This window comes from Homo sapiens, chromosome 10 (genome assembly GCF_000001405.40).
Source record: "Homo sapiens chromosome 10, GRCh38.p14 Primary Assembly".
NCBI classification, from domain to species: Eukaryota; Metazoa; Chordata; class Mammalia; order Primates; family Hominidae; genus Homo; species Homo sapiens.
The window spans coordinates 69,805,471-69,831,896 of NC_000010.11; the positions used below are offsets into that span (position 1 = coordinate 69,805,471).

Consider the following 26,426-nt stretch of genomic DNA (forward strand, 5'->3'; position numbering starts at 1 on the left):
GGGCTGTCCAATACAGTAACTGCTAGTCATATGCAACTCATTATATTTAAACTAACTAAAATTAAATAAAATTTAAATTTTAGCTTGTCTGTTGCAACAGCCTGGTTTCAAGTGCTCAGTGGACACTGCAGCTAGGGACTATGGAGCTGGACAGTAGAGAGAAAGAACTTGTACATCCTCGCAGAAAGTTCTATTGGCCAGCGCTGTGCTACGAGCAGCTTCTGGGCCTGCAAAGCAACTTGAGGGGACCATCCTGGGCCTTTCCCTGTGTAGGTGTGTTCTCCCAGGTCTGAGCAAAGGTCTGAGCAAAGGGCAGAGGAGAGCAATGGGTAAGGCAGAAAATTGGGACAGGCAAAAACCTGCCACAGGACAGGAGAATTCAGAGACAAGAGAGGGGAAATGGTTTTGTTACAAAACAATTCTCCAAAATGGAGGTGCAGAAGGTCCCTGTCCTCATGGGGCACACACAGGCATCTGGTGAGTTTGGAGGCCAAGACCAGGATTCTAGCTGGGCTTTGCCAGTCTTGTGGCCTTAGGCAAGCCATGCTACACCCCTGCACTTCAGGTTCATCTTCCATTAAATCTAGGCCCTGCCTCCCTCCTGGGATTGGAGGCAGATCGGAGACTTCACTAAAAGGTGCCATCACCAAAGGCCATGCACAAGACCAGATGAGTGCTCAGGGAGGGCCCTTAGGGATCTGGGGCAGGCAATCTTTGCAGCAGGCAGGACTGGGCCACTTCCTGAAGAATGGGAGAAGGACACTGGGGAGGGCAAGCCTGGTGAGGCACACGGCCTGTGCAATGGCCTGGGGGTGGGACTCCCATGCCAATGGGGAAAGCAGGTGAGGGGGCAGAGACTGCGTGTATGAGGCAGAAGGGAGAGGGAGCTGCAGGGAGGGCCGGCCAAGGGGACCCAGGAGGACAGGAGGCCTGAGAGGGGAGCCAGAGGCAGATCTGAGGGGACCAGCCCATGACGGGGGTTGTGCAGAGCCGGGATTGGAGGATGGCGGGAGCCAGCTCTGTGGGGAACCAGGAGTGTGCTTTCCAGACCTCAGGCCCCAGCTCTTCCCCCATCAGCGCCTCTCTCCTGGTCTGGGACCCTTAACGAGCACTCCAGCTGCCTGTTATTTGATTTGCTTGCTGTGAAGAAAGAAGCTGGAATGTCCCAAATGGAGAAAATCAGATGACACCTAGGACTGGGCAGCCGTGTGCAGTGAATGAGAAGGGAGTGGAATTTAAAAGAGCCAAATGCTGGGCCGGGTGCAGTGGCTCATGCCTGTAATCCCAGCACTTTGGGAGGCCAAGGTTGGTGGATCACCTGAGGTCAGGAATTCAAGACCAGCCTGACCAACATGGTGAAAACCCATCTCTACTAAAAAATACAAAAATTAGCCGGGCATGGTGGTGGGTGCCTATAATCCCAGCTACTCGGGAGGCTAAGGCAGGAGAATTGCTTGAACTGGGAGGCGAAGTTTGCAGTGAGCTGAGATCGAGCCATTGCACTCCAGCCTGGGCGACAGAGCAAGACTCCGTCTCAAAAAATAAAAATTAAAATAAAGAGCCAAGTCCATCTTCTAGGCCCAAGGGGAAGCAGAGGAGGGTCTCAGCAGCCACCTTTAAGGTGAGTTTTGAGAGATGCCAGGTAGACTCCCTAACCCCAGTAATAACATCAGAAACTGTAATAGAAATGTCCTGTAGTTATAGGGTGCATACAGGGGCCAATGCTATGCGTGTCACCACTATATCTCTTTCAATCCTCACAACTTCCCTAAGGGACTGACATTCACACCACCCCCTTTTACAGATGAGAAGACTGATGTCACTGTACCTCCCTCCCACTATCTGTGATTCATTCCTTTGGATGTTAAGGAATCTCCTGGGAGAGGAAGTGGTTGAAACTTCCAAGCTAAAATGTTAAGGAACCCCAGGCAGACTCCTTCATCCCTAAAAATAACAACAATTATAATAACATGTCTCATGTTTATACGGTGTGTGATTTTGGTGCAAAAGTAATTTCAGTTTTTGCCATTGAAAGTAATGGCAAAGAGATGTAGGGGACAGATATAGGGGAGGGATCAAAGCAGCAGCTGAAAGATTGGGGCTGTGGATGGGGTCCTTTAGGACTGAAATGCTGGGATGAGGATGGGAAGAGACTCTTAAAGGGGATGTACATGTGTGCTAGGGTGGGTAACCTGTGCACAGTGTCCTGTGCTGACCACAGCTGACTGGACCTCAGTATATGGACAGACTCTGGATCCAGGTTTCCTCAAATGCAGCCAGCACAAGGTGGTACCAGAGGAGTCAGGGGTGGGATCCAGACCCCAGCAGGCATCTCTCCTTCACCACACCTTCCCCTTTCCAGACAATTAACTAGGTCAGCAGTGGCCCATACATGGCTTGGGTGTGCCCTGCTCTCCATTCCAGGGCCCTCAGCAGACATTATTAATCAATTGCTGCACACTTTCCCATGGAGCTTACATGCAGCCTCAGAATCCTTTTCAACAGTGTTCAGGAAGCTGCTACTTACTAGTGACGGTTGGTGTTCAAGACGAAAAGCTATTTCATAACTCTAGATTTTGTTTTTTTAATAACAGGTGCTTACTATAAAGGCAGGGAGAATTACTAGAGCTCTGCCGCTTCTCCAAAGGTCTTCGAACTAGCAGATAGCTCTGAACAGACTGAGGACCTCAGGAGGCAGCCAACCCTCATAGGAAGGTGGTGGGGAAAACCAAAAGCATCTCAAACACCATTCCATCTGCCCTAAGCACAGCTTTACGGTTTGATAACTCCCAGAAAGATGTCTTTTCCCCTTCTTCTTAATCACTCTAGACTTGCCCCACTGCTCTCTGGAAAGCCTCCTCGAACCACTCCAACCCAATGTGGGCTCTCTCCCTGCTCCAACTTCCTGTTGCTCTTCCTAGGTTGTGCCAGACATTTAGCTCAGAGAAGGAAAATAGACATAGCATGTGTTGTTGGCTTTCCTTATCCCAAACGGTAGCAGATACTACTCATCGCTCAATACACTCTTTCCCATTCAGCCTAGGTAGGCCTCGGAATCCTTCTCGACACAGTCCTCCAGTGGCACGGAGAACAGCAACCCAGGCTGCCGCTCCCGTCCATTAGAGTCAGTGCACAAGAGGAAATCCATTTGCCATTCATGGTTCAACCCAACCACATTGTACAACGGTCTCTCCATGTGACCACACATGACCCGATGACAGCGATAGAGGCATGCTGTCTTGGGTCCCTTATTAATTCTAGCCCAGGACTTTGCACATAATACGCAGCTCTCACAAATTAGCTGTTGATGTAAGGTCCCCCTGTTAGAGGCTGGGGAAGGTTTATTAGTCAGCTCTCCTCGCAGCGTCCCCGGCCCTGGACCCAGCAATAGGCTCAGCATTTGCTCAGGGGGTGTTTCTCAGCAACCAGCAGAGGATGAGATGATTGACTTCTGTGTGTCCAGGCTGCATGCCTTGTCCTGGCTGGGAGAGCAGGAAAGGCTCAGTGATGTGTTCCCCACTGGGCAGAGAAGCTGGGGGCACCCACCCCCTCCCATCCTCTACTCCCAAGGTCAGGAGCTTCATTTTTACCTGCCCCAGCTGGCTGCCAAGGTTTTTCTTTACAGAGTCGGGGGGTGGCAAAATGGTGAAGCAGGCAACACCATAGCATTTGAACCCCTGCCACTAACTGTGTGACCTGAGCCTCAGTACCCTAATCTGAAAAATGGAGATGATGACATCCTCCTTACAGGGTTGTTGTAGGATTAAATGAAATCATTTGGCTAATGGCAACTGTAACCATTGCCACCTCGCTCATCATTGGAGGAGGTAATATGGGGCTTCATGCACCTTGTCTACAACTTTTATTAGTAGCTGATATTTATTGAGTTTACGCTGTGTATTGAGCTTACACTTACACTGTGTACCAGGGACTATTCAAAGACCTTTACATCTATTGATTCACTAAATCCTCACAATAATCCTATGAAGTGGTTACTATTGTTACTATTCCCTTCTTACAGAAGAGAGAATAGAGGCACAGAGAAGTTAAGCAAATTTCCCATGGTCACACAGTAAGTGAGTAGCATAGCTAGGCCTTGAAATCAGGCAGTGTGGCCCAGAGCTGGCATCCTCAGCCACTAGGATGTACTTGTCTGTATGAAGTACCATACCTCTCTAACTCTGCTGAGGCCAGTCAAACCAGCCAGGGGCTGGGGATCTGTTCAGTTTGGTTTGGCTCCCAGAGGCAGTGTTTACTGAACTGCCTTGGCGTCAGGGCCGTGCCACCATCTTTGTTGTAAGAAAGACATTATGAGAGTTGCTAATTACATCAGGCCTTGGTGATGAGTACTCTGAGGGAAGCCCTTGTCCAGTCTTGGCCTCTGGAATGCTTGGGCTTCCCAGGGTGGATGGGTTTGTTCTTGTCTCTCGGACTCTGAACTGGCCACTAGGAAGCATAGCAGCAAATCTAGGGTTCAGCCAGTGGCAAAGGCTTTTGTATGAGCCTTGATCCCAGATCCTATTTGATCACTCTGCCTTTGCTGTTCTTCTACCTTACTGTATACTGTCTGTCTGTCTGTTTGTATCAGCTGCCTGAATGCTCCCTTTTAGAGCCAGAGAGGGGTAAAAGATCTGAAGTAACTAAACATTTTAAAGTTACTCTCCCCTCCTTCTCACTGATCCAGATGTCCTCAAAGGCTTGCCCTTGTACGGGTGATGCTGGTTGCATTAGAATCGCCTGGGGAGCTTTCAAAACACGCCAGGCCAATTGTTCCCAATACCTGCTGCAGATGTCTGTGGGTAGGGCCTGGCTGTAAGTGTCTAACGAGCTCCTCGGGTGATCGTGTTCTGCGGCTGGACCTGGCAGGCCCTGAGAATGAGAGAGAGAGAGAGAGAGAGAGAGAGAGAGAGACAGAGAGTCTGTGTGGCCCAGTGCCTGGAGCTCCCTGTACAGTGAAACCCAGACCCCCTTACCCGGGTCCCAAGCAGTGCTCAAGGGGCTGAGGGGCAGTGATGAAGCTCACGGTGAGATGTCAACAAAAGTCTCCGTGTGCACTGGGAGGTTTGAAGAAGGGCAAGCAGCAGGCTTTTTGCTGTTGTTTTCCAAAAACAAAATCAACTGAGGTTTGCCCTCCAGGAAGCCTCAGAAGTCCTTCTCCCACCTCTTTGGGTTGGGTTCTGCCCCTCCCAGAAACAGTCTATTGAGCCCTCAGTCAGAGGGAAATCAGCAGGCTTCTCCAAGGGAAACTGAGGCCTGGGTCTGGGGAGACTAGGGTGGATGGGGTCACCAGCTGCGCTGGGTGTTGTCTGGGCCACTGGCAGGCCCCAGCAGCAGCCCCTGCTGACACTCCCGCTCTCCCAGCCACAGCCCTGGGTGTGGGGCCTCCTTGCAGAGATGCTGTCTGTGGCGGAAGGGGTGGGCCTGCTGGCAGGGGGTGCTCTCCTGGTCCTTCAAAGAGCAAGGGCCAGCCAAGCACAAAGGGGCAGAACTGCCTGCCAGAGAGGCTGGGCATGGCCTTTGAGGGGACACTGGGCCCCTGTCTCCCTGCCTGGCGGCTATTGTAGGTTTTCCTGAAACCCCACATGGCTGGGGCCCACGTAGGCTGGGCCTCTGCCTCCTTGGCCCTTTCCCATCCTCACTCCCACCCCAGCCTTGCCTGCCTCCTCAAGTCTGGGTCATTCTCCTTTGAGCATTCGTCCAGGCATTTCCCTCTGCCCACACGCTCCTTCCTCCTGCCCACCACCCCCTCCCTTCAGGCGCTTCGGTTTTTTATCCGCTCTTTGGGTTGCAGCAGGAGAACCTTGCTGCCCCTAAAGGCTGTTGTGGGTCCTGAGCTTCTGCCATAGAGGGACTTTGCACCCGCTGCCCTCTGTCAGGCTGCAGATGCTCTGCGAAGGCACCTCTTTAGCACCAGGTCATGCTCTGATAAGGTGGCCTGTAGGGCAGGTCAGAAAGGGTGACCTCTCGGGACAGGGATGAAGAAAGGGGGCTGGGTTAAAGGGGCATTTGCCAGGGCTCTTCCAGGAATAGCTTCATCCACCTCCCCCTGAACTGGCACTTGAGGTTTCCTGGAGTTGGGGGAAGCTCTGTGACATGGGAGGTCAGAGGGTGCTCCGGACACCTCCAGCCTCACCCGACTCCATAGAATCAGGAAGGGCCTTCATAAGTCAGGTGCTGCTCTAGGAATTTCCTACAGCAGCCTTGGTCCTCAAGCTTACACACCTCAGTGACGGGGAGCTCACTACCTTATATTGCTGACTGTTCCCTGGTAGGACATCTCTGGCTCTTAATGTCGTCAGAGGCCCAGCCAATCTCTACACCCACCAACCCACAACTCCAGCATGTCTTGAAAGCACCTCAAACTCTACGTGTCTAAACTGAGCAGGAAATCCACCCCTCACCAGCATCCCTTCATATGTGAGCACAATGACCTCCAGCCACACCCACCCCAGCTCTCCTGCCCACACCTTCTCAGCCTCTGCAGACCTGTCCTCTCCTCTCCATCCCTGCCTGCCCTCCCCAGCCCGAGCTGCCCCCCTAACTCTTCTGCTCTCACCCATGCTGTCCTGACTCTCTTATCCACACAGTAGCCAGAGGGGACCTTTTAAAAAACTAAGTGTAATCACGCCGTCTCCTGATTAAACTCTTCAGTAACTCCCTATTGCTCTCAGGCTAGAGACCGCATTGCTAAATGTGACCCATATGGCCTTCAGGTGCAGCCCTTGTCACTCTCTCCAGCCTCATGGCTCACCTGCCCTTGCTTCTGGAGTCCAGCTACATGGTGGCACGCTGTCAAGGCTAGGAGCACAGACTCTGGAACCCGATTGCTGGGTTCAAGACCAGCTCTGCCAGTTACTGCCTATGTGACCTTGGGCAAGTTATTCAAGCTCTCTGTGCCTTAGGTTATACCTCTGTAAAATAAGGGTAATGATAATAAGAGTACTTTTATGAGGGTTGTTTTTAGGATTAAAAAAAAGTTAAGATATAAAGTGCTTTGAGTAGTGACTGGTACTCCAGTAATAGATCATCCAATCTCCTTGAAAGAGCCAAGTTTCACCTCTCACAGGCATAGAGTCAAGGTGTGGGCTCTGAGCCAGGCTTCCCGGGTTCAAATTCTGCCTCTGTCTTTCCAGGCTGTGTGCTGTCTTGCAGGTTACTTGGCCCCTCTCTGTCTTAGTTTCCTCGCTCATGTAATGGGTTGCAGTGAGTGCTGGAGGAATTAACATTAAGCTGGTGCAAAAGTAATTACTTTTAATTGCCATTGAAAGTAATGGCAAAAACTGCAATTACTTTTGCACCAACCTACTCCATGCAAGATCCTTGCCTGGCTCCTAAGAAGTGCATTATTGGGTTAGCTTTCAGCCTCTCCCCTGTGCCTGGGCCCCTCACCTGGTGAGTTACTGCTCAGCTTCAGATCTTGGCTCATGTCTCACTTTTCTGCCATGAGCCAGACTAGTCCATGCCCCGGCTGGCTCTCAGCTCCTTGCCCCTTTTGGCCACAGCTCTGATGACAATGGCTGCCCCACATTGATGTGTGGTTTGTAGGCTCTTCTGTTTCCCTCCCTAGAGTATCAACTTCATGGGAGCAGCCTCAGTCTGCTTTGCATAACAAGGTTCCCAACATTAACCCCTAGAACATTGTAGATAGTCAATACCCATTTGTGAAAGGCAGGAAAGGAGGAAAGAGGTCCCCAACATTCACCCCAGGACTTCTTTGTGGTGGGGGGCCCCTGCCTTATCCTGCACCAGGCCTAGAGATGACCCCTGGACCCCTGAGATCCTTGAGGTCCTGGGCCCCTTGCCAATCTGCCTCCCATGCACACCATCAGTTCTGGGGCCCGGTTCCTTGACTCCTTGCGGCAGTAGCAGGGCCTTGGGTTAGCTAGAAGGAAGGACTTCGTCATACGAATGCTGCAAAGCTCACATAGGGGTATGTGCCTCCTGTCCCTGACTTTTTTCCTGAACCATAGAGCCTGGGGCCACATCTGTGTGTGGTTCTGGTGAGACAGGGAGGCAGAGGGAGACAGAGGCAGTATGTGGTATCTGGAGGACCCGCAGGCCCCTGTTTCATGGCCCTGGGAGTCTGTGATCAGGTGCCAAGTCCACTGCACGAAGAGAACTGTTGAGGTAGGGAGAAGACAGCTCCTAAGGCACCCCCGTGGCACCCCCTCCCTGTCCCCAGCACACAGGCCCCTGCAGCAGCCCATGCAAGTCCAGTTCTGGTGGGTGTGGGTTGGATGTCTTGATTTCCTCCACTTTGATTTCACCCTGCCAAGCTGCCTGTGCCCTGGGGCATGTGGCTACGAGTGGGCCTGTCCCTTTAACCCCTTTGGTGGAGCCAGCCCTCTCCTGCAGTCCCTGGGATGTAGCCCATGGGGCCAGCACTGAGCAGCCAGGTCCTGCCTCTGTACCTCCTCACGGAAATGCCCTCCCTCCCCCATGCCCATTTATCCCAATTCTGCCAAAGCCCACCTCCTCCTGGGACCACAAGGATGAGTCCTAGAGGGCTGACCTAAAAGTAAGTAATTCGGTTGGAGTGTGGATTGAGACATCTGACCCGGGACCCTGACATCTGAGGGCCAGCTCAGTCTGCAACGGGGCAGCCAGCCCAGCAGCAGTTATGCTGCAGGATGATCAAAAGGCCTCTAGCAGATGGGATCAAGTCCCTGCCCTGTGCCAGGCATTGTGATCAGAGTGCTGGCACAGGGGCCGGAGCTTCGTCTGCTGTGGTCATTCCAGTGGGCACCTCCTCTTCCTTCAACTCCTAGTTCTCAGGGTCAAAAGGCAGGGCTGCAGGTCAGACCCTCCTCACTCACCCTCCCTTTCCAGAAGAGGGGCTCTGAGTTTCCCAGGAGGAGGAGGAGGGACATGGCAAGTGCAGGAAACTTGACCACTTGTCGCAGAGGTGTATGCCATGGAGCCAGGGCAGCAGGGGTCAGGCCAGCCTTATTACAGCAGGTGGGAGGAGGCAGGCCTGGCACTGGCTCAAGAGAGAAGTGGCCTTCACCTGGCCACCAAACAAAACAAGCTGGCAAAACAGGTGCTCACCCTCCTCACATCTGGATACCTCTGTTTATTTTTTTGCCTCATCTCATTTTATCCTGCCAGCTGTCTTGCGTAGTCTAGCAGATCACTTAGATTATCTCCATTTTATGGATGAGAATATCAAGGTCCAGAGGGGTTATAGATTTTGCTTAATACACAGTTAGTAGGAGAGTTGGGACTAGACCCCAAGGCTCTGGCACTCCCAAGTGTAGTCAAGCTGATATGATATGATTTCAACACTGCCAAGCTCTGCCTACAATAGATTCTTCACTGGAGTTTGGGGGCCATCTGTGCCAACCCAAAAGAAAGTCCCACTCCAGCCTCCAAGGGAATAGGAGGCATGCACTAATAATGTCAAAAATCAATTATTAAATGATATTTTCCACCTAAAGTGCTTAGCACAGTGGCTGATATATGGTGTTCAATGTGCATAGCTGTTATAATTAATATTAACTCTTGTTTAATAATTCAACCCAAAATTGATAGATGCTCCGTGGTTTCCCAGGCACTTGCCTCTGCGTTATCTCATTCGGTCTCCACATTGGCACTCAGGAAGCTGGCAGGGGGTGGTGGGTCATATCCCTATTTTGTAGATTCCCCCTGAAGGGACGTGCCAGGCTCAAGGTCACAGCTGCAGGTCTCACCTGGCTTCTCCCTCTGGGCTGTGTCTATGCCACAGCTTGGACCCACCCCATGTATTGCAGAGGCCCAGGTTGAGCTAGGACGTTTTAAGAGCCCTGAGGCTGAGACACAGGGAGGGAGTGTTCCCTAAACCCAAGACCAGGCTGGAGCCACATTCTCTGGGGGGAGTGAGTAGCTGCCTGGCATTTTCCCTTTGATACTGATACAGGCATTTTAATAGCTGCAACCGATCAGGCGGGTGATGTTTCAGCTCTGGCCACATAGGGCATTCCAGGAGGCCCCGGCTGCCAGCAGGGGCAAAACAGGAAGGCTTCTCTGCCGAGGGTAGCTGAGGGTCCACCCTAGGGCCTCATCTTGGGGGTGTCTCACCATGGGTCTCAAAGTCAGATGTCAAGGGGGCCAGGCTGGTGGCCTAAGTAGGTGAAGCTGGCTTTGGAGAGAGAGTACTTTGGTAGCCTAGATGGCACACATCCATCTGAAAGGGGCAACCACCACACAGCACCACCTGATTGTACATGCTCAGTGTTGACAGGTCTCCCATTGTGCAAGAGAGACCAGAACTGGATGTGAAATCTCCTGATGTGTGAACAACCAATATTTATTGAGCACCTACTATGTGCCAAGCCCTGTTTTAGGCGCAGTGAATAGAACAGAACAGAAAAAAGTATCCAGGTCCTTGTCGAACTTACATTCCAGTGCTACAAAGAGACAATAAGTAAGAAAAATAAGCAAAAAAAAAATCCTAAGGAGGAAATAAAACAAAGTGGTGTGCTGGGGGAGGAAGAATTTTGGAGGAAGGGGTGCAGGAGGTGAGGAAGGCCTAACAGCAAGCCAGGTAGGTAGCTGGGAAGAGAACACCCAGGCAGAGAGCCCAGTAAGTGTGAAGGCCCTGAGGTAGAGAAAGCCCAGCATGTATGAGAGCTTCAGAGGCCTGTGTGATTACCCTGGCTGCCGTGTTGAGAAAGGTCTGCAGGGGCACGGGCAGAAGTCGGGCATTCGTTAGAAGGTTATCACAGTAATTAGGCCAGGTGGTAGTCATGGAGGTGGTGAGAAGGGGTCAGATCTCGGATGCGTCTGGCAGGTAAAGAACAGGAATTGCTAATGGAATGGGTGTAGGGTGAGAGAAATAGACATCAATGATAATTGTGAGGTTTTGAGCAACTGGTGGGATGGGGAAGCTGATGGTAGGGGCAGGTCCAAGGAGGAGTTGGGAGAGTCTATCAGAAGCTCAGTTTTGCCAGGCTAATTCTGAGATGCCTATGAAGGGCCATATCAAGCCAGCAGCCAGATAGATGCATCTGAAGTTTTGAAGAAAGGTATAGGTTGGAGGGCGTCATTCTGCATAGATGGCTTTGAAGCCATCAGACTGGATGAGGTACCCTAGGGAGCCAGTGTCTAGAGAAAGAAGTGAGACCCTGGATGTGGACCCTGTGACTTCCAACATTTAGACATCAAGTAGATAAGAAGGAATCAGCACAAGACTGAGAGGGCACAGCCAGGGTGGTGGAAGGGAAATGGGGAGAGTGCGTGTCCTGGGAGCCAAGGGCAGGAAGTGCCCCGAGGAAGAAGGGGGGTGAGCAAAGGCTGCAGCCTGGCTAAGAGGAAGCATGAGGACTGCCCACCAGATTTGGCAACCCGGAGGTCACTGGCAACCTGCAGGACAGTTCTTAGGGGACAGTAGGGGAAGAGCCAGGTAGGAGTGGTCCAGGAGAGACGTAGGAGGCAGCGAAGATTGTCATCCAGGAGTTTTTCTAGGGAAAGAGCTAACCAGAGTCAAAAGAGGATTATTCTCTTTTCCGTTTTTATGCTGGGAATAACAACAGCATATTTGCATAATGATTCCGTGAGGGTGGGCTAACTACAGCTAAATCCAGCTTGCAGCCCATTTTTGTAAATATATATTTTTTATGGGAGCACAGCCACACTGATTTGTTTCCAAACTATGGCTGCTTTGGCCTGCGATGGAAGAGTGGAGTAGGTGTGGCAGAGATCATGTGTCTCACACAGCCTCAAATATTTATGTTTGCCGGCCCCTGATGTAAATGATCCAATCTAGAGGAGGGGATTGATGAGGCAGGAAGGCAGGGGACTTGCTGGCGACAGGAGGGGTTGGCCCTCGTGGAAGCACAGATGGGGAGCTTAGGAGGAGAGAAGGGTGCTGGCAGGCGCAGATGCAGATGGACGGCACGTGTAGTGGTGGCTGCCTCTGGAAGCCCTCTTCTGCTTGCTTTTCTTCTCAAGGTCATCAGTTGACAATGAAGTTGGGGGAGGGGACGTTGGTGGTTTGGGGAGAGGAAGTGTGAAAACTCCCAGGACAGTGCAATGGTGAAGGGTTGAGGGAACCACAGAATGATTGCTGGGCTTCCGTTTGAGATCTGGATCATGAATTTAAAGTAAGATCAGTCGGCGAGGTTGTGTGTTTCTCCCGCTTTACCCTGCTGCCTGTGTGCAGGGGTGGGGTAGGAGGAGACGTTGGATCTAGCCAGGCTCGTGGCTTAGTGAACAGGGCGGGTGTCAAGGCAGTGGAGGGTGCAGACAGGGGGTGGTGATAATCACTGGCCACAGAATTTGAGCCGGGCACGGAGGGAAGTGACACATGGTAGTGATGGACAGTAAAAAGTTGGTAGGACCCGCAGGTTGAAGGCCCTGTGGGATTCGAGGGTCCCTGGGGCCGGGGTGTTAGGTCCTTGGGAAATGGAGATCTGTGGGCAGAGTGTTGAAGCCTAGGCTGTGGATGGGTCATGGTGCTGTTGAGATTTAATACTCTTTCAAAATAAACTCTGGGCAGGCCAAGAAAACACTTACACCCTGAACTGACCTGGTTTTCTAGCTGTGCCTGTGGTAGCTTTGCCTGCTCAGATGCCTCCATCCCCTCCAATCAAGGCTCCCGATTTCCGGGTCCACCTTTCCCACCTGCCTTCTCTCCCAAACTCCAGAGCTGCCCATGCCTACCCTGCTGGGTTCCACAAACTCGCCATCTTCCCACAACGTGCTCTTGCCGCTGTTATGTCCTAGGGGTGGCATCTTGGCTGCCCAAGGCAGGGCCTGGCTCCCACAACCACCCCAAATCCATCCAGTGCCCAGTTCCTTCTTCCTCCCACATCTCTCCACTGGGTGATGACCATGACATCCTCCAGAGAGGACCTCAGCCCAAGCGGTCTCACTGGTCTATACTCAACGGGCTGCTGGAGTGCCCTTTATACCACCCAAATTTGACCACATGACCTCCTTGCTTAAAACCTTTGAATGGTTCCTCCATGCTAGAATCCTTACCTGGGCACACAAGGCCTGGTTATTAGTCATGGTTCTCCAGAGAAACAGAAGCAATAGGCTGTATATAGATGCACAGAAAGCGAGTTATCAAAAGAGATTGGCTCATGTGATTATGGAGATGAGAAGTCCCTTAATCTGCCATCTGCAAGAAAGAGGCCCAGGAAAGCCAGTGGTGTAGCTCCACTTAAACCTGAAGGCCTGAGAGCCAGGAGAGCCAATGGTGTAAATTCCAGTCCAAGCCTGAAGGGCCAAGAACCAGTTGTGGTGCAGGGGGAGTCAATGTTCAAGGGCAGGAGAAGATGGATGGTCCAGCTCAAGCAGAGAGAGCAGAGTCTCCCTTCCTCTACCTTGTTCTACTCAGGCCCTCAACAGATCAGATAATGCCCACCCCCTATGGTGAGGACACTGTTCTTTCCTGAGTCTACTAATTCCAGTGCTAATCGACATACCTAGAAAGAATGTTTTCCCAGCTATCTGGGCATCCTTAGCCCAGGCAAGTTAACAGATAAAATTAACCCTCACAGCTCCCACTCCCGACTCAACACCCAGGCCCTCTGAAGTCTACAGTCACCTGCACACATCTGAGTATGCTTCTCCCACACCAAGCTCAGCTGTTTGCTGATGGACTGTGACTCATTCTCTATTTTGCAGTCTCACAATTAGTAGAAAATAAACATAGGATCTATTGAATAAAAGCATTGAACTTGAAGTTAGAGGACCCAGAATTTAAGCCCTCTGGGGTTTACTTGTTCAAGGCAATTCCCTTTCCCTTTCTGGGACTTAGTTTCCTGGATTATACAATGGGGCTGATTTCTAGCCTGCCTGTTGCACGGGTCAGTGATGAGGGTCAGGTGAAGTCTCAGGAAATGTGAAAGTCACATGGAGGTCTACCTTAGGTTGGGTTCCCAAGGGAACAGTCTCCAAAGTGGAGGTCTATGAGTAGATGACTTACTTATTTGACTTATTGGCATCAACATAGGAGGGGGAGTGAGGGAAGCAGTTGGGCAGAGGAGGGGCTGAGCTGTGATACAGTCATGACAGAGGCCCCAGCTGGTCCTGTGGGAGCTCCGTAGCTGGGGTGGCCCTAGAGTCAGTCCAATTTGAGGCAGAGGGGCCAGGTCTGCATTCCTCCTGTCTATCAGTAATTGAATATGGGTTGCCTTTGGGGGAGAGTGTGACCCTGATCAAGGCTGCTTCCTTGAGCTGAGAGCAGCTCCCAGAAAGAGGCTCAGCCATCAGCAGCCAACACTCCCAACAGCTAAACCACTGGTCTAATCCTGGGAGCCTGGATGGCCCACCACAGCACCCATGAGCTGTGGTGCTTTATGGCTGTCAACAAGCCCCAGAACCAGTGGCAGGGATCCATGTTACACATTCAAAGTCTCTGCCCCTGCCTTAATGACCTGCCTTCCTGCCCCCCACATTCCTATCCCATGTCCTCACTCAGATCACTCCAGCCACACTTCACCCCTTCCTGTTCCTCAGATGCTCCATGAACAATCCTGTCTCTGAGCCTTCGCCTCTGCTGTTCCCTCTGACTGGAACACACTTCCTCCAGACATCAAAGGATTCATTTTCTTACTTCCTCCAAATACCGCATGACTCATTTTCTTACCTTCCTCTGGGTTTTTGCTCAAAGTCCCCTCAAAAAGAGGACCTTCCCTGACCTCCTGGTATAAAAAAACCACCTTCCATCATTCTCTGTCCCCTTGCTTTACTTTATTTTTCTCCCAGCATTTATCACTGCCTGTTACACATTTTTTGTTTTTCTATTGATTTTTTTCTTCCACAAGAAGTTATGCCCCTCTAGGGGTGTGCCCCATGAGGATGGAGCAGGGGCACCACCCACTCATGCCACAAATTCTGTCTCCAGCCCAACCCTGTGATGGCAGCTTGCTCAGTGCTGCTGCTGAGTGGGTGACAACTCCGATGGTTACAACCTTTAGCCAAAATGCTGCCAACTCCTCTGGTCTTGGCTTGTCAGTCATTTAGCCGACCTGTGTCATGTGCCTTCTGGGTGCCAGGCCCCCAGGTGATTGGTGGGGAGGGATGTGGAGGCAGGTTCGTACAGTCCCTTACAGGAAAGCAGCATTCATGAGCCAGGCTCAGAGCTGGCTATCACCAGAGGGGCTATCACCAGACTTTGGCCTGGGGGCTCATTTGTTTGCCCAGCGGCCGCTCTGTGCCCACCTGTACCTTGGCCTCAACATTCATCCTCCTAATTGTTACTCAGCCTCCCCTTTCTAAGTGAGGGTCCCCACTTTGGGGTGTTTCCCCTCTTCTGGTCTACCTTGATCTCGGCCCCCTTCTGCCCTCAGAGCCCCCCATCCCATCTGTCACTGTGTTCCCTCCCCAGGCATTTGCACTCACCTTCCTCCAGCAGGTGGAGCGGGCTTTGTGCCAGGAGGCGTGAGTTCACACCTCAGATCCACTACATCCTGGCTGTGTGACCCTCAGCAAATCACTCTACTTGCTCTGAATCCTTGTGAAGCTTTCTGACCTTCCCTCCCCACCCCCAAACCAGAGGCGATACCACCCTTATGACACCTCCCATATTACTTTCTTCACCTCTCTTGTGGCCCACACTGAGTGGCAAAATTTCACAGTAGTGAGGAAGCAAATAGCTCTGGCTGTCATCCTAACTCGTCAACCTTGTCAGGGTAGGGACTACAGTACATCAGGTGCAGTCAGTCCTGGCCAGCCAGAGCACAGGCTTCATGTGGCCAGGTCTTTCAGTTAGTTTTTCAAGAGAAATTACAAATGCAGATTTGCACATGAAACCACCCACTTCAAAATATTGGCAACAAATTCAATAATAATAATGATTTAAAGCTCACTGTGGGAACCAAATAAAATACACTGAAAGGCCTATTTGGCCCTGGGGCTACCAGCTTCCTATGGCTGCATGAGCATCACAGTGTGGGTTTGAATCCCAGCTCTGTACCTTACTTCAGCCTTGACCTTGGCCAGGTGCAGTCTCCTCTCTGTGCTTCAAGTCCCTTACCTGTGACATGAACATGGTAATAGCTAACATTCATTGAGAACTTCCTGGGTATCAGGTGCCATTCTTTCTATGCATTAATCTTTCTAACTTCGCAGTAATCCAATGAAGTGAGGACTCTTATTAGCCCAGAGTCTGAGAACTGTGTGTTAGTCCAGTCAGCCTGGCTCTAGAAATATCCCTGTTAATGGCTAGTCTGGCCAACTTTGTTGCAAGAATCAAGTAAGAGTCCTTATGAGACCCTTGTCACATTGCCCTGTGCAGTGTAAGCCTGCAGAGTTGACACACAGGGGAATCCTGCATGCATGGTCATTACGCTTGCTCTTCTCCACTTGCCACCATGAACATGACAACTCCTCGAGGGTCGGGGTGTTCTACCTCTCTGATGCTCCCACCTCTTTGGGACCTTCCAGGTAGGCTCAGTGATTTGAAGGGAAGTGAGGAAGATATTTGGTGGAGGGGTGCAGAGAGCCTTGCCATCCCCCTACTGCTGCACCCCTGCCCAGCTTGCAAATGCTAGCTTTGTAAGGGACACCAGAAGAACAGAAGGCACTGTCCCTGCCCAGGGGTCCATCAGGAGCCCAGTCCAAGGCAGAAAACAATTAGCAGAGAGCTGAGAAAAGCATGTCATTGTGCACATGAGCATGAGGTGCAGGAAGATGCAACTGGTTTATAGGATCCTGTGTTTGGGGTTAATTTCTTTAAGAGTGCTCCAAAGACATCAGACGCTGTGATTACCGGGATGGGCTTTCTTGTCTGCTTGTTATTACCCAGATGCCCGGTGGCCAGTGGAAGGCCATTAACTGCCTGTCTTTGATCCAGGAAGAGTTCTGCCGGTTTCCCCCTCTTCCTGCCCTCCTCGTCAGCCCACAGCTGCTTTCCAGGGCTTGGTGTCTACGAGCTCCTGGTGACTCCTCTTGTCTGTCTCCTTGTACAGAAATGGAAGCTCCACTCAAGGAGGCGCCGGGAGGCCCCAAAGACATCTCCAGGATGTAACTGCCCACCAGGTAAGCAGCCCTGCAAATAGGTGACCGCGGATGTTCCTAAGACTGAGACCAGAGGCTCTTCCTGGTGGCCATGCTCTAGCCACACCTCACTCAGGCCGTCACTTTTCATTTGAAAGACAGGAGTGACAATATCTGTGGTTGCCTTCCATCTGCTCACAGATTGGCCTGCCTGCCCCGCATCCATCAGTCCACCCACCATTCATTTGTTCATAGAGTATTTTATGGGCCTGATACTCTTTGAACCAGGTTGTGGTGAAGTCGGATAAGATGATGGGCATGACTGTTTTGAAAGTTATGAAGTGCTATGCAGCGTCAAAGGGACCATCAGCCCCCCAAGGGGAGGCACCTTGCTTGCTGTGTTCATCATTGTGTCCCCAGCTTCCCAGGTATACAAAAATGTTTGTTACCTGAATGAATGACCCTATAATTGTAAGACCTTATTTTCTATAGCTAGCTGGATTAGGGCAATGTGTGTTCACTATATGGCCTCTAGGCTACATGCAACACACACATGCTTACATGCAAGGAATGAAGGCACAAGCCAAAGGTCGCAAGGTGATACTGTGTAATACAGTGAACTGGTCTAATCTAGAACAAAAATCTGCTTTCGCCACTTACTAGCTCTGTATGGGTGGAGCCCTGACCTGTCTATTCTAGTGCTTTCCTCTGTATCCTTGGGCCTGTTCCTCAACTGTGTCTATTCACCTGTGTAACAGCTGCGTACTAAGGACCTGCTGGGCACCATGCAGTGTGTCGGGTTCAAGTGCATTGTCCACCATGAATGCAAGTGATAAGTTACAGCTTATGAGAAATTTTCTAGGTGCCTGTTACTTTTCTAGGTGCCTGTTATTGTTAAGCCATGAGAGTGACAGATGAGGAAGTTTCACTGTTTCCCTGAGGAACTAGAATGCACTGTACCTCTTTAGAGGTGGGGAAGGAAGGCCTAAAGAAGAGTTGCAGGAGACAAGGTATCACATTTAAGTAATGGCAGAGAGTTTTGGTCCGCTACTGGCCTCTGCCAGCTCAGCGTGTGGCCTCCTCGATACCCACGGTGGCAGGTGGCACTAGCAGGGTGCTCACTGGGCTCTCTGGCTGGCCCTCCTCTGGCCTCAGAAGCCGAGGGACCCAAGTAACACTCACCCAGGTCCCCAAGCCAGGGAAGAGAGGCTGACAGATGTTAAGCATATGGGAAACGAAGGACCGCATTTGCTGGAGAGTGAATGGGCTGGGGTGGGAGTCACAGTTCCAGGATGCTGCCCTGGGAGACAAGGAGACCGTGAAAAGATTCAGCTGGACCCGGTGAGAAGAGGGTCGTCCGGGTTAATTAAAAGGGTGTCCAGAAGCCCTGGGAAGCTCCCTCCCTCCCTCTGGGCCCAGAAGATAGGGCCCGGGGGTCTGGGAAAGCTTTCAGGAGAGGAGTGCCAAGATTAATGAGATGGGGTGGAGGCAAGGGTTGGGTGATGGGGCCTGGGCAGAGAGACCGTTCGCATCAGGGCTCATGGGACAGCCCATGTTTCCAAGGATCATGTCTGTTGCCCTTATAACTCTTGGGCAATGACAACCGATTTTTGCTCAGCGTATAGAATGCTGGTCAAGGGCAGGATATTTGAAGCCACAGAGGATGTAGGTTTGAATTCCATCTCCAACATGGACCAGTCTTATGACCTTCAGAGAGTTATTTAACCTCCTTGTGCCTCAGTTGCCTTGTCTGAAAAACAGGGACAATAGACACCAGCAAGGTAGAGATTCCTCGAGATAATCCTGGGAACTGCTTAGCATCTTCTCTGATTCCTAGTAAGCATGATTATGATTATTTTCTCAACTGCCTCTCGCACTTCAAAGATGCAGAGAAATCCTTATCAAATGCCATGTCCTAGTGTTGGGGGCACATTTGTGGCCAGGCAGAGACTTGCCTTTCTCCCTTCCCTGCCTTATTGGGGAAAGCACATCAGTTGTCTGATGGCCTTCAAGTCCATCATCAGAGTGGGTGGTTCTCAAGAGGTTTCAATATTGTGCCTCAGAAAGTCAGGCTCAGGTAGTCCTGGGAGGCTGGGAGCTGGGGAGGAATGTGGCAGGAGGGGGAAGGACTTGGAAGAGTGCTTCTCTTCTCCCTGCCTGCTGGGAGTCTGTGTGGAACCCACTGGTCCTGGGCAGTGAGGAGAAGACCATGAAGCAGCTCAGAGGGTCAGGGGAGGAGGAAACACCATGGGGAGAAGAAAGGGCTTGACCTTGGTCCTCTGCGGGGAAGGGACAGCAGCAAGGGCTGAGTTGGCCAGGCATAGAGGAAGAGTGGGCAGGGGCTCCTGGAAGGGATACCCCTGCATGTTGAGAATTTCTAAAAAGGCAGTTTGGCCCAAAGCATACATCAGAGCCAGTGGGCAATGCCTGAAGAATTTAAAGAGAAGGCCCCAAACTCAGGCAAAATCAGAGGGAACTAAGATGCTGTTCCGGCCTTTCGTAACTGAGTCAGGGAAGGACTGGAATGGCCACACGGAAGCATTTCACATCATGGAATCACAGCAAAATCTCCTAGGATGGGCTGGGTCCTGCTGGGTCCCCTGCCCTGCCTCTCTCTGACTGACCTGAGGCTTCTCATGCCTTGGTACAGTAACCTCCTCAACAGCAAACCCAACCTATTATAAATAATAGCAGTTACTGCCACTGTGTCCCACTTGAGCACCTACTATGTGCCAGGCACAGGACTGAGCACTTTATGTGCATTGGTAACCTTCCTCAAAATACTAAAAGTAGGTAGAAGGGAATTCAGTTCTAACACTCTGGAATGTCTGAACATCCTCAAATTCGCAAAGAGAACATCACTGTCATTCTTGCCCTTACATCATGCATTTCCGATTATCTCCTGAGGGTCGGAGTTTATAAACAACTTTAAGGCTCCTGATCCTTGCAGAAGGACTCATACAATTGTCAAGTGCCACATACAAATTCAAAGCTTGATTTACTTTTGTCTTGCAGCACCTAATACTGTACCCCATACATAGTAGATGCTCTGTGAATGTTCAATAAATGAGTATCAGTAGTCATTGCTGATGACTGGCTGCTTCCTCGTGTTCTCCCTCTGCCATCTGATTGGTTTCAGACACCTTATCCCTCACCCCACCCCAAATCTTGCCTGATGCTGAATTTACTGCTATTGGGACAAAACAAACACACTCTTCCTGCCCACTGCGGTTGCTGAGATGGAAGCCTCGATCCTCAAAGTGGTGCCTGCCCTCTGTGGCCAGCTAGGCCAAGCCGGAGTCCTGCGGTGGGTGTGTTCTTCCTTGTGGCAGCCTTGGGGCCCTGGGCGGCACCCAGAAGGCCTGGGACACATAATCATGGGCAGAAAACCTGCCTCTTTCCCTTTCTATCTGACCTTCCCAGCATCCTCCTGGGATCCTCCCTGTCCCAAAATAGCCATCTACTGGCTGAGATCTGGCTGCATCCTGCTTCTGGGCTGCATGCGCTGTTTGCCAAGGGAGTGATGGGCTTGCAGGCCTGAGAAGGATGCCAAAGGTCAACCCTCAGTTAGGAGGGTCATGGCTGCCAGAAGTTCAGAGGAATAGGTGTGGGCCATTTGCACAGCATATGGCCTGGTGGGATAGGAGAATGGTCTTGGGAACAGATATACATACCATGAGACTTCCTAGGCCACTTGAGAAAAATACAAAGACCAAGGAAACTTTCCCATTATCTGTCCCTTTTCTTATTAACAAATGAGGAGCAGGACATTATAGTCTAGCCAGCGAGGAAACAGCTACTTCAGGCCCGCCACGCTGGGGCTGGGTGGGGCTGGCCTGTGTCAAGTCCAGGGTGGGGCAGGCAGTGTGAAGGATGACACGTTTTTCACCCAGAGGGAAGAATGGCTAGCTCAGCTGCTGAAGGAAATCACTTCGCTGTCGGAGCCTCATCTCCAAGGGAAAGGGTAGGCCAGAGTCATGCCCTGACTGCCAGGCCAAAGGGCTTTGGACTGCAGCAGTGGTGGCATGGGGGTGATGTGGTCAGGCTTGTGCACTAGCGCCATGACCAGCACTGCAAAGAGGACGGATGAAAGCGGAGAAGTCGCCTTCAGCCAGCCTAATGGGAGAAGCCACAGCTGCCTTCCGGGTCAGTGTGCTGGTGAGGGGTGCATGAAGTGCCCAGGAGCCAAAGGAGCTGGGGCTCTGGGAAAACTTCACCAAGGAGAGGCCTTGGAGGTTGTTCAAAAGGAACAAATAAGCAAGTAGGAAGGCATATTGTTAGGGCATCATAGACTCCATATGGTGTCCACATAGACACCATAACAGGAGACCCCCCAAATACAAGGACTTAGACAAGGTGGAGGTGGAGGTCTCCCTTCCCTAGCAGGCCAGGGCTGGGAGCTGGCTCTGCCATCTTCATCTTGTGGCATCCTTCTCTGGCAGATGCTTCGGTTCTTGCCACCCCATGACCAACACAAAAGGGGAATGGGACAAGTGGAGTATGTGCTCAAACCCTCAAGAGCAAAACTTGAAAAAAGAGACACAGATCACTTCTGCTCACAACCCATTGGCCAGAACTTAGTCACGTGGTTACCCCCAGATTCAAGGGAGGCCAGGCAGTATTTTTCATGGGTGGCGATATGCCCAGATAGAACTTTATTACGATGGTAGGTGGGAAAACAGATATCAAAGAACAACTAGCATACTGCACAGAGGACATTCCAGGCTGGCTGAGGGACTGTCATGGACAAAAACTCGGAGGAGCAAGAAAAAGGCAGTAAGTTTCGGGATGACATGCAGTTGAAGAAATCTGGAGCTCAGAGCAGTAATGAGAAATGAGGGTGGGAGGAGATGTCAAGACTACAAAGAGTCAGGCTGAGGCTGCCCGGCTCCCTCTGTCCAGTAGGAGGCAAATGATTTCATCCAGAGGGTGATTGATTGGTAATGGCTGCCTGATTGATTGGGGGGCTGTGCTGAGTCAGCTTCTGAGGCTGTATCCAGGTTCAGCAGAAAATGTGGTAATTGCTTATTGATGTCTGCTCTGGATACAGGAGTGGTGGGGGAGCAGTGCCTCTGCCCTGGCTGTGCTGTCCTCACAGGAGATGATGTGGCATCAGAGAAGGTTTGGGGAGCAGGGATGTCACCTGATACAATTTGTATTCTAGAACAATAACTAGCAGTGATGTGGAGGCTGGCCTGGAGGGGAGAGCAGCCCCTTCCAGCAACAAGAGTCTGCGATCCTACGAATAGGGCTTTATTTTCTTATGAGCTGCTATTTACCTTTGGGTTGTAATGGCCTCTCCAGCCTTGGTTGTTTTTCCACAGCTGATGAGAGCTGATGCCCACACATCCTAAACCCTACTCTCTAGCTAGCCTTGCCTTATTTTCCCTGGCACCAGACTTTGCCCCCAACAGCCTCATGACATTTACATGGGCAGGACCTGTAGCCAGAGCTTTGGTCACAAACCAGGCTCCTCTTACCTCCCCTGTGCTGCAGCAGCGCAGACCCCGAGCCCCGCTTCTTTGTGGTCCTTCTTATTTCAGACTTGATTTATTTCAGATCTTAGGAATCTGCAGACCAAAGCGTCCTTTGTTTCTATCAATGAAGAAAAGATTCAAGAGTTGATGGTTATTTTAGGGAGAATATTTAAACTAAAGGTATACTGTTTCAGGTAGCTCCAAAACCCTGCTTTACATGCAAATAATTGATGGGCTACTTCGGGGTCATTCTTGCTATTTCTTAAAGCAGATCCCCTGGGGCCAGCCTACTAAGAGATCCTCCTGTTCGATTGCTGTTCTCGTCAATATTCAGACTCCCCCTTGTTCTGCTGCAGCCAGAGTGGTGTGCTTTCCCCTGCGATGTTAGCCTCAGTCCTCCCCACCCCCATCTCTTCCTCCTGACTTTGCAGCCCCACCGCATGTCCCATCTGGCCTCCCAGACACCCAGGTGCAAACCCACAATAGCAACATCAGTGCCCCCTTCGCCTTCACCCACTGCACTCCATCAGCCAGGTTCTGTCAACTCCACTCCTCTGCTCAAAAACCATCCATGGCTCCTCAGTGCTCATACCCCCCATCCCAAAGATAAGCCCACTTTGTCTCTCTAGCCTGATCTCTGACCAGTCTTCCGCTGTCCTGCTTTTCTTTCAGTAAAACTGGGCTGCTCCCCTGCCAGAACTTACAGTGTCCCACTTGCACACAACTCATGCTATTCTGGTATCTTTGTTCTCAGTTTCTACCTAGTGAACTCTTCACCCCTCCATGTCAGCTACATCATCCCTGCAGCTCCTTCCATCCTCTCCTCCCCACTTGGCCTCGGCCATGAGTTCTGCTGTTTGATGAGTATGTTAACGTAATGCCTGGTGTATGCTCGATGTACAATCCAGGCAAAACCACCCACTGGGACAAGTAATTTGTCCTAAAATGAGAAGTGCAAACAGACCAAGATGTATACACCTGCAGAGGTTTCTCCCTGACTGCTAGCATTAACCATTTGCTTTAGATGGTGTAGGTGCTTGAGAGCAGCATGTAGTATGAGTCTCTTACACAGCAAGAGTAGCTTTTGTGGGTTTCCAGCCAGGGAGAGCCTTCCCACCTACAAACCACACTGGGCAGCTTCCTTGCCATCTCCGCCTGGATCCTCAAACGGCACACAATGAAAGCCAGCACCTTCCCCCCACCTGGCCCTTTCCAACATTCTCGACCTCTCCCAGCATCTAAGCCATGACCTGGGCTTCAGGCTGAACACCACCATTTCCCTCACACCCCGTCAATCACCAAGTCTCATTCATCCCACTCTGTCAATTTCCTCCACCTCCACCGTCATCACCCTTGTTCAGGGTGCTGCCACCTGACCTCCTCCAAACCCTTCTTTACACAGAAGCCAGAATGGTATTTTTAACATTGATGTATAACTCCAGATAACCAAAGCACTTCAGTACTTTCCATCACCCTTAGGATAAAGCCCTAAATCCCTAACACAGCTTGTTACCTGCTCTGACCCCCCTCGCCATGATCCCTTCTGCATTCCCAGCAGGCCCCCTGGCAGCACTGGTGCTGCTGGTTGTCTGACCACATTTGGAGTAACAGACTATGGCTGACGGGAGCCCTGGCCAAGCCAGACAGAACGTTATGCTTTAGAAATCAGCCAGTCCATAAAGCTTGGACTCTTGGCTCCAAACGAAGGCCCTTCCTTGGCTGTTGCAGCCCCATTTCAGGCAACTGGCCTGCTCCACAAGGAAGGTTGACCATCACCTTGGAGAGGGCCCTGGGTTTAAGGAGCACCCCCACCCCCCACAGCCATAGCTCTCTATGCCCCTCATGGGGTGGAGGGTCAGGTAACTGGCGTGGGTGAGGCCAAAATGACCACAGCTGCTGGGAGACCAGGTGCTGCGCGGCTGCTAAAATGCTCCACCATCTGCCCCTGGAAGAGCCTTTTCTCTCAAGGCCCTCTGGCTCTGCGTTTCAGAAATTCCTGGGGAATTCTCCAAAGTTCATTTCTTCCCCATTTCCTCCCAAAAGCACTTCCAGATCCCCAGCCCTCCTGGACGCTGCTGATAATGTGTTTCTCCTAGATCCGCTCTGATAACACTGGGGTGGTCGGCTGAGATTTGTAGGGAAATAAAAATAAGGAAATGGAGGGTTCCGGAAAGGCCAGAAGAGCCCTGGACTGGGAATCAGTCCCAGACCTTGAAGGACTCTGAGCAGATTACTCTCCTCTCTCTGGGCTTTGGTTTCCTCGCTGATATAAAAAGGTGAATGACTGAAAAATCATTTGGCAGTATCTGGTAAAGTAAAGAATCGTGTCCAATAAAGCAGCTCCCTTCCTAGGCACTTCTGAGAGAAATGCTCGTCTGTGCGTAAAAGAAGAAGAGATGCTCACTGCAACACTACTGTAGTAAGAAAAAAGGAAAAGAAAAGAAAAGCCTAAATATTTGTCAGCAGGAGTGTGCAGAGATATGTTGTGCAGTATTAAATTGCAGTACTTTCATCAATGAAAATGCACACACAGTAAACAGGATAAACGAGACCTTCAGACTCAGCAATTCCAGGGCTGGATCTCCTCCTCTGGAGGGAAAAAAGCAAACGACAAGAGAATATTTACAATATAAGTCATTTATCTAAAGTTAAAAACATAAAGACAACACAATACAATCTTCAACAACTATATGCATAGATAGTAAACACGTAAAGAAATGATGGAAATGGTAAACATCAAATTCAGCAGGGAGGAGGGACTGGGTAGAGACTGGGGTGCTTAGGGAGGTTCAGCTACATGGGTAGCTATTAGGCTGGGTGGTGGGTACGCCAGGTTCAGTACATATTTTTTGTAATAACTTTATTGCGATGTAATTCCCATATACAATTGGTCGATTTAAAGTGTACAATTTGATGGGCTTTCTTACATTCACAGAGTTGTGAAACCATCACCACAATCAGTTCTAGGACATTTTATCGTCCCAAAAAAGAAACCCCATTCCTTTTGGCAGCCATCCTCCATTTTCGCCCGCCCTCCGACCCCCAGCCCCAGGCAAGCGTTAATCTACTCTCCATCTTTATGGATTTAGCATAATGTTTTCAAGGTTTATCCATGTTGTAGCATGTATCAGTACTTCATTCCTTTTTATTGCCAAATAATACATTATATTGCTTTTAAGCCTCTCTGAATGTCTGAAATATTTCAAGATAAAACATATTTAAATCATAAAGTTAATGAACGGATGTTGTTGAATTAGAGGATGTTGAAGGAATCCTTCATGTCTGCCTCTAAACCTAATTGGCGGTCTTTACCAGCAAGGATGTATCATTGCTTGCTGCCTAAATCCCGTGTGTGTGCACCCTCAGCCACCTGTGGGCTGGCAGCAATGGTTCTAACCCTGCCAGGACCCAGACCCAGGGGGTCAAGCCCTGCTCAGCTGGACTCTGACACCTGACCCCCTCTGTGGTGCTCTGAAGCGCCCTTGCTCTTCCTCTGCCTGTGCTCAGTGTCACTTCCTCTGAGATGTCTCCGTTGAATCTCCCAGACACAGCTGGGGGCCCTTTTTCTCAGTTCCTAGAGCTAGAAAACTAACTCACCATGGGGTGGCTATTTGGTCCCCTGGTGAGAGAGCAGCAGCCACGCTTACAGCCCTGCAAGCTTCTCAAGCTTCTGAGCATCAGTCCTCACCCTAGGAAAATGAAGATGTTGGTGCTTGCCTGATAGACTCGAGGTGATAGGGAGATAAGTTATGTATGAAATTTTTCAGGGGTGGTGAAGGATTTGCTTTTATGCCTCTGACTCACTCACTGGACATGAAGATTGTCCTGGGCACGAGCTGTGCTGTCTGCAGGAAGGAGCAATGGACTGGCTTCAGGACTTGCAATACCCACTGCCCTGGGAGAGGCAGGCTAACCCAGCAGTTACAGGTGTGGGCTCTGACTTCCCAGTAAATCCCAGTAGTCCCAGTTCTACTCCTTGTTAGTCATGGTACTGTGGATGGGTTACTCTCTTGACCTCACATA

The 26,426-nt window shown here is 50.9% G+C and overlaps 1 protein-coding gene and 1 long non-coding RNA gene across 44 annotated transcripts in view, besides 1 other annotated feature; one reads left to right on the forward strand and one right to left on the reverse strand.

Annotated features, from left to right (window-relative positions):
• COL13A1 (collagen type XIII alpha 1 chain) overlaps positions 1 to 26,426 on the forward strand; it is a 157,239-nt gene that overhangs the window by 3,565 nt on the left and 127,248 nt on the right. For all 43 annotated transcript variants that reach the window (XM_047424600.1, NM_001368882.1, XM_011539294.4 and 40 more), the window contains exon 2: positions 16,899 to 16,968. In XM_047424600.1, coding sequence (XP_047280556.1) covers positions 16,899 to 16,968 — 70 coding nt within the window. The remainder of the gene's footprint in view (positions 1 to 16,898; positions 16,969 to 26,426) is intronic.
• Positions 1,303 to 2,502: an enhancer, noted in NCBI's record as "BRD4-independent group 4 enhancer chr10:71566529-71567728 (GRCh37/hg19 assembly coordinates)". NCBI's record gives its function as "activates an origin of replication core promoter dependent on BRD2, P300/CBP, MED14 and CDK7 cofactors, and independent of BRD4, by STARR-seq in HCT116 cells {active_cell/tissue: HCT116}" and the evidence as "EXISTENCE:reporter gene assay evidence [ECO:0000049][PMID:35650434]".
• LOC105378347 (uncharacterized) lies at positions 3,405 to 15,457 on the reverse strand. The gene is made up of 3 exons (XR_946039.3): positions 15,331 to 15,457; positions 4,781 to 4,869; positions 3,405 to 3,482 (listed from the first exon to the last, which is right to left on the reverse strand). It is a non-coding gene; the product is annotated as an uncharacterized LOC105378347 (long non-coding RNA).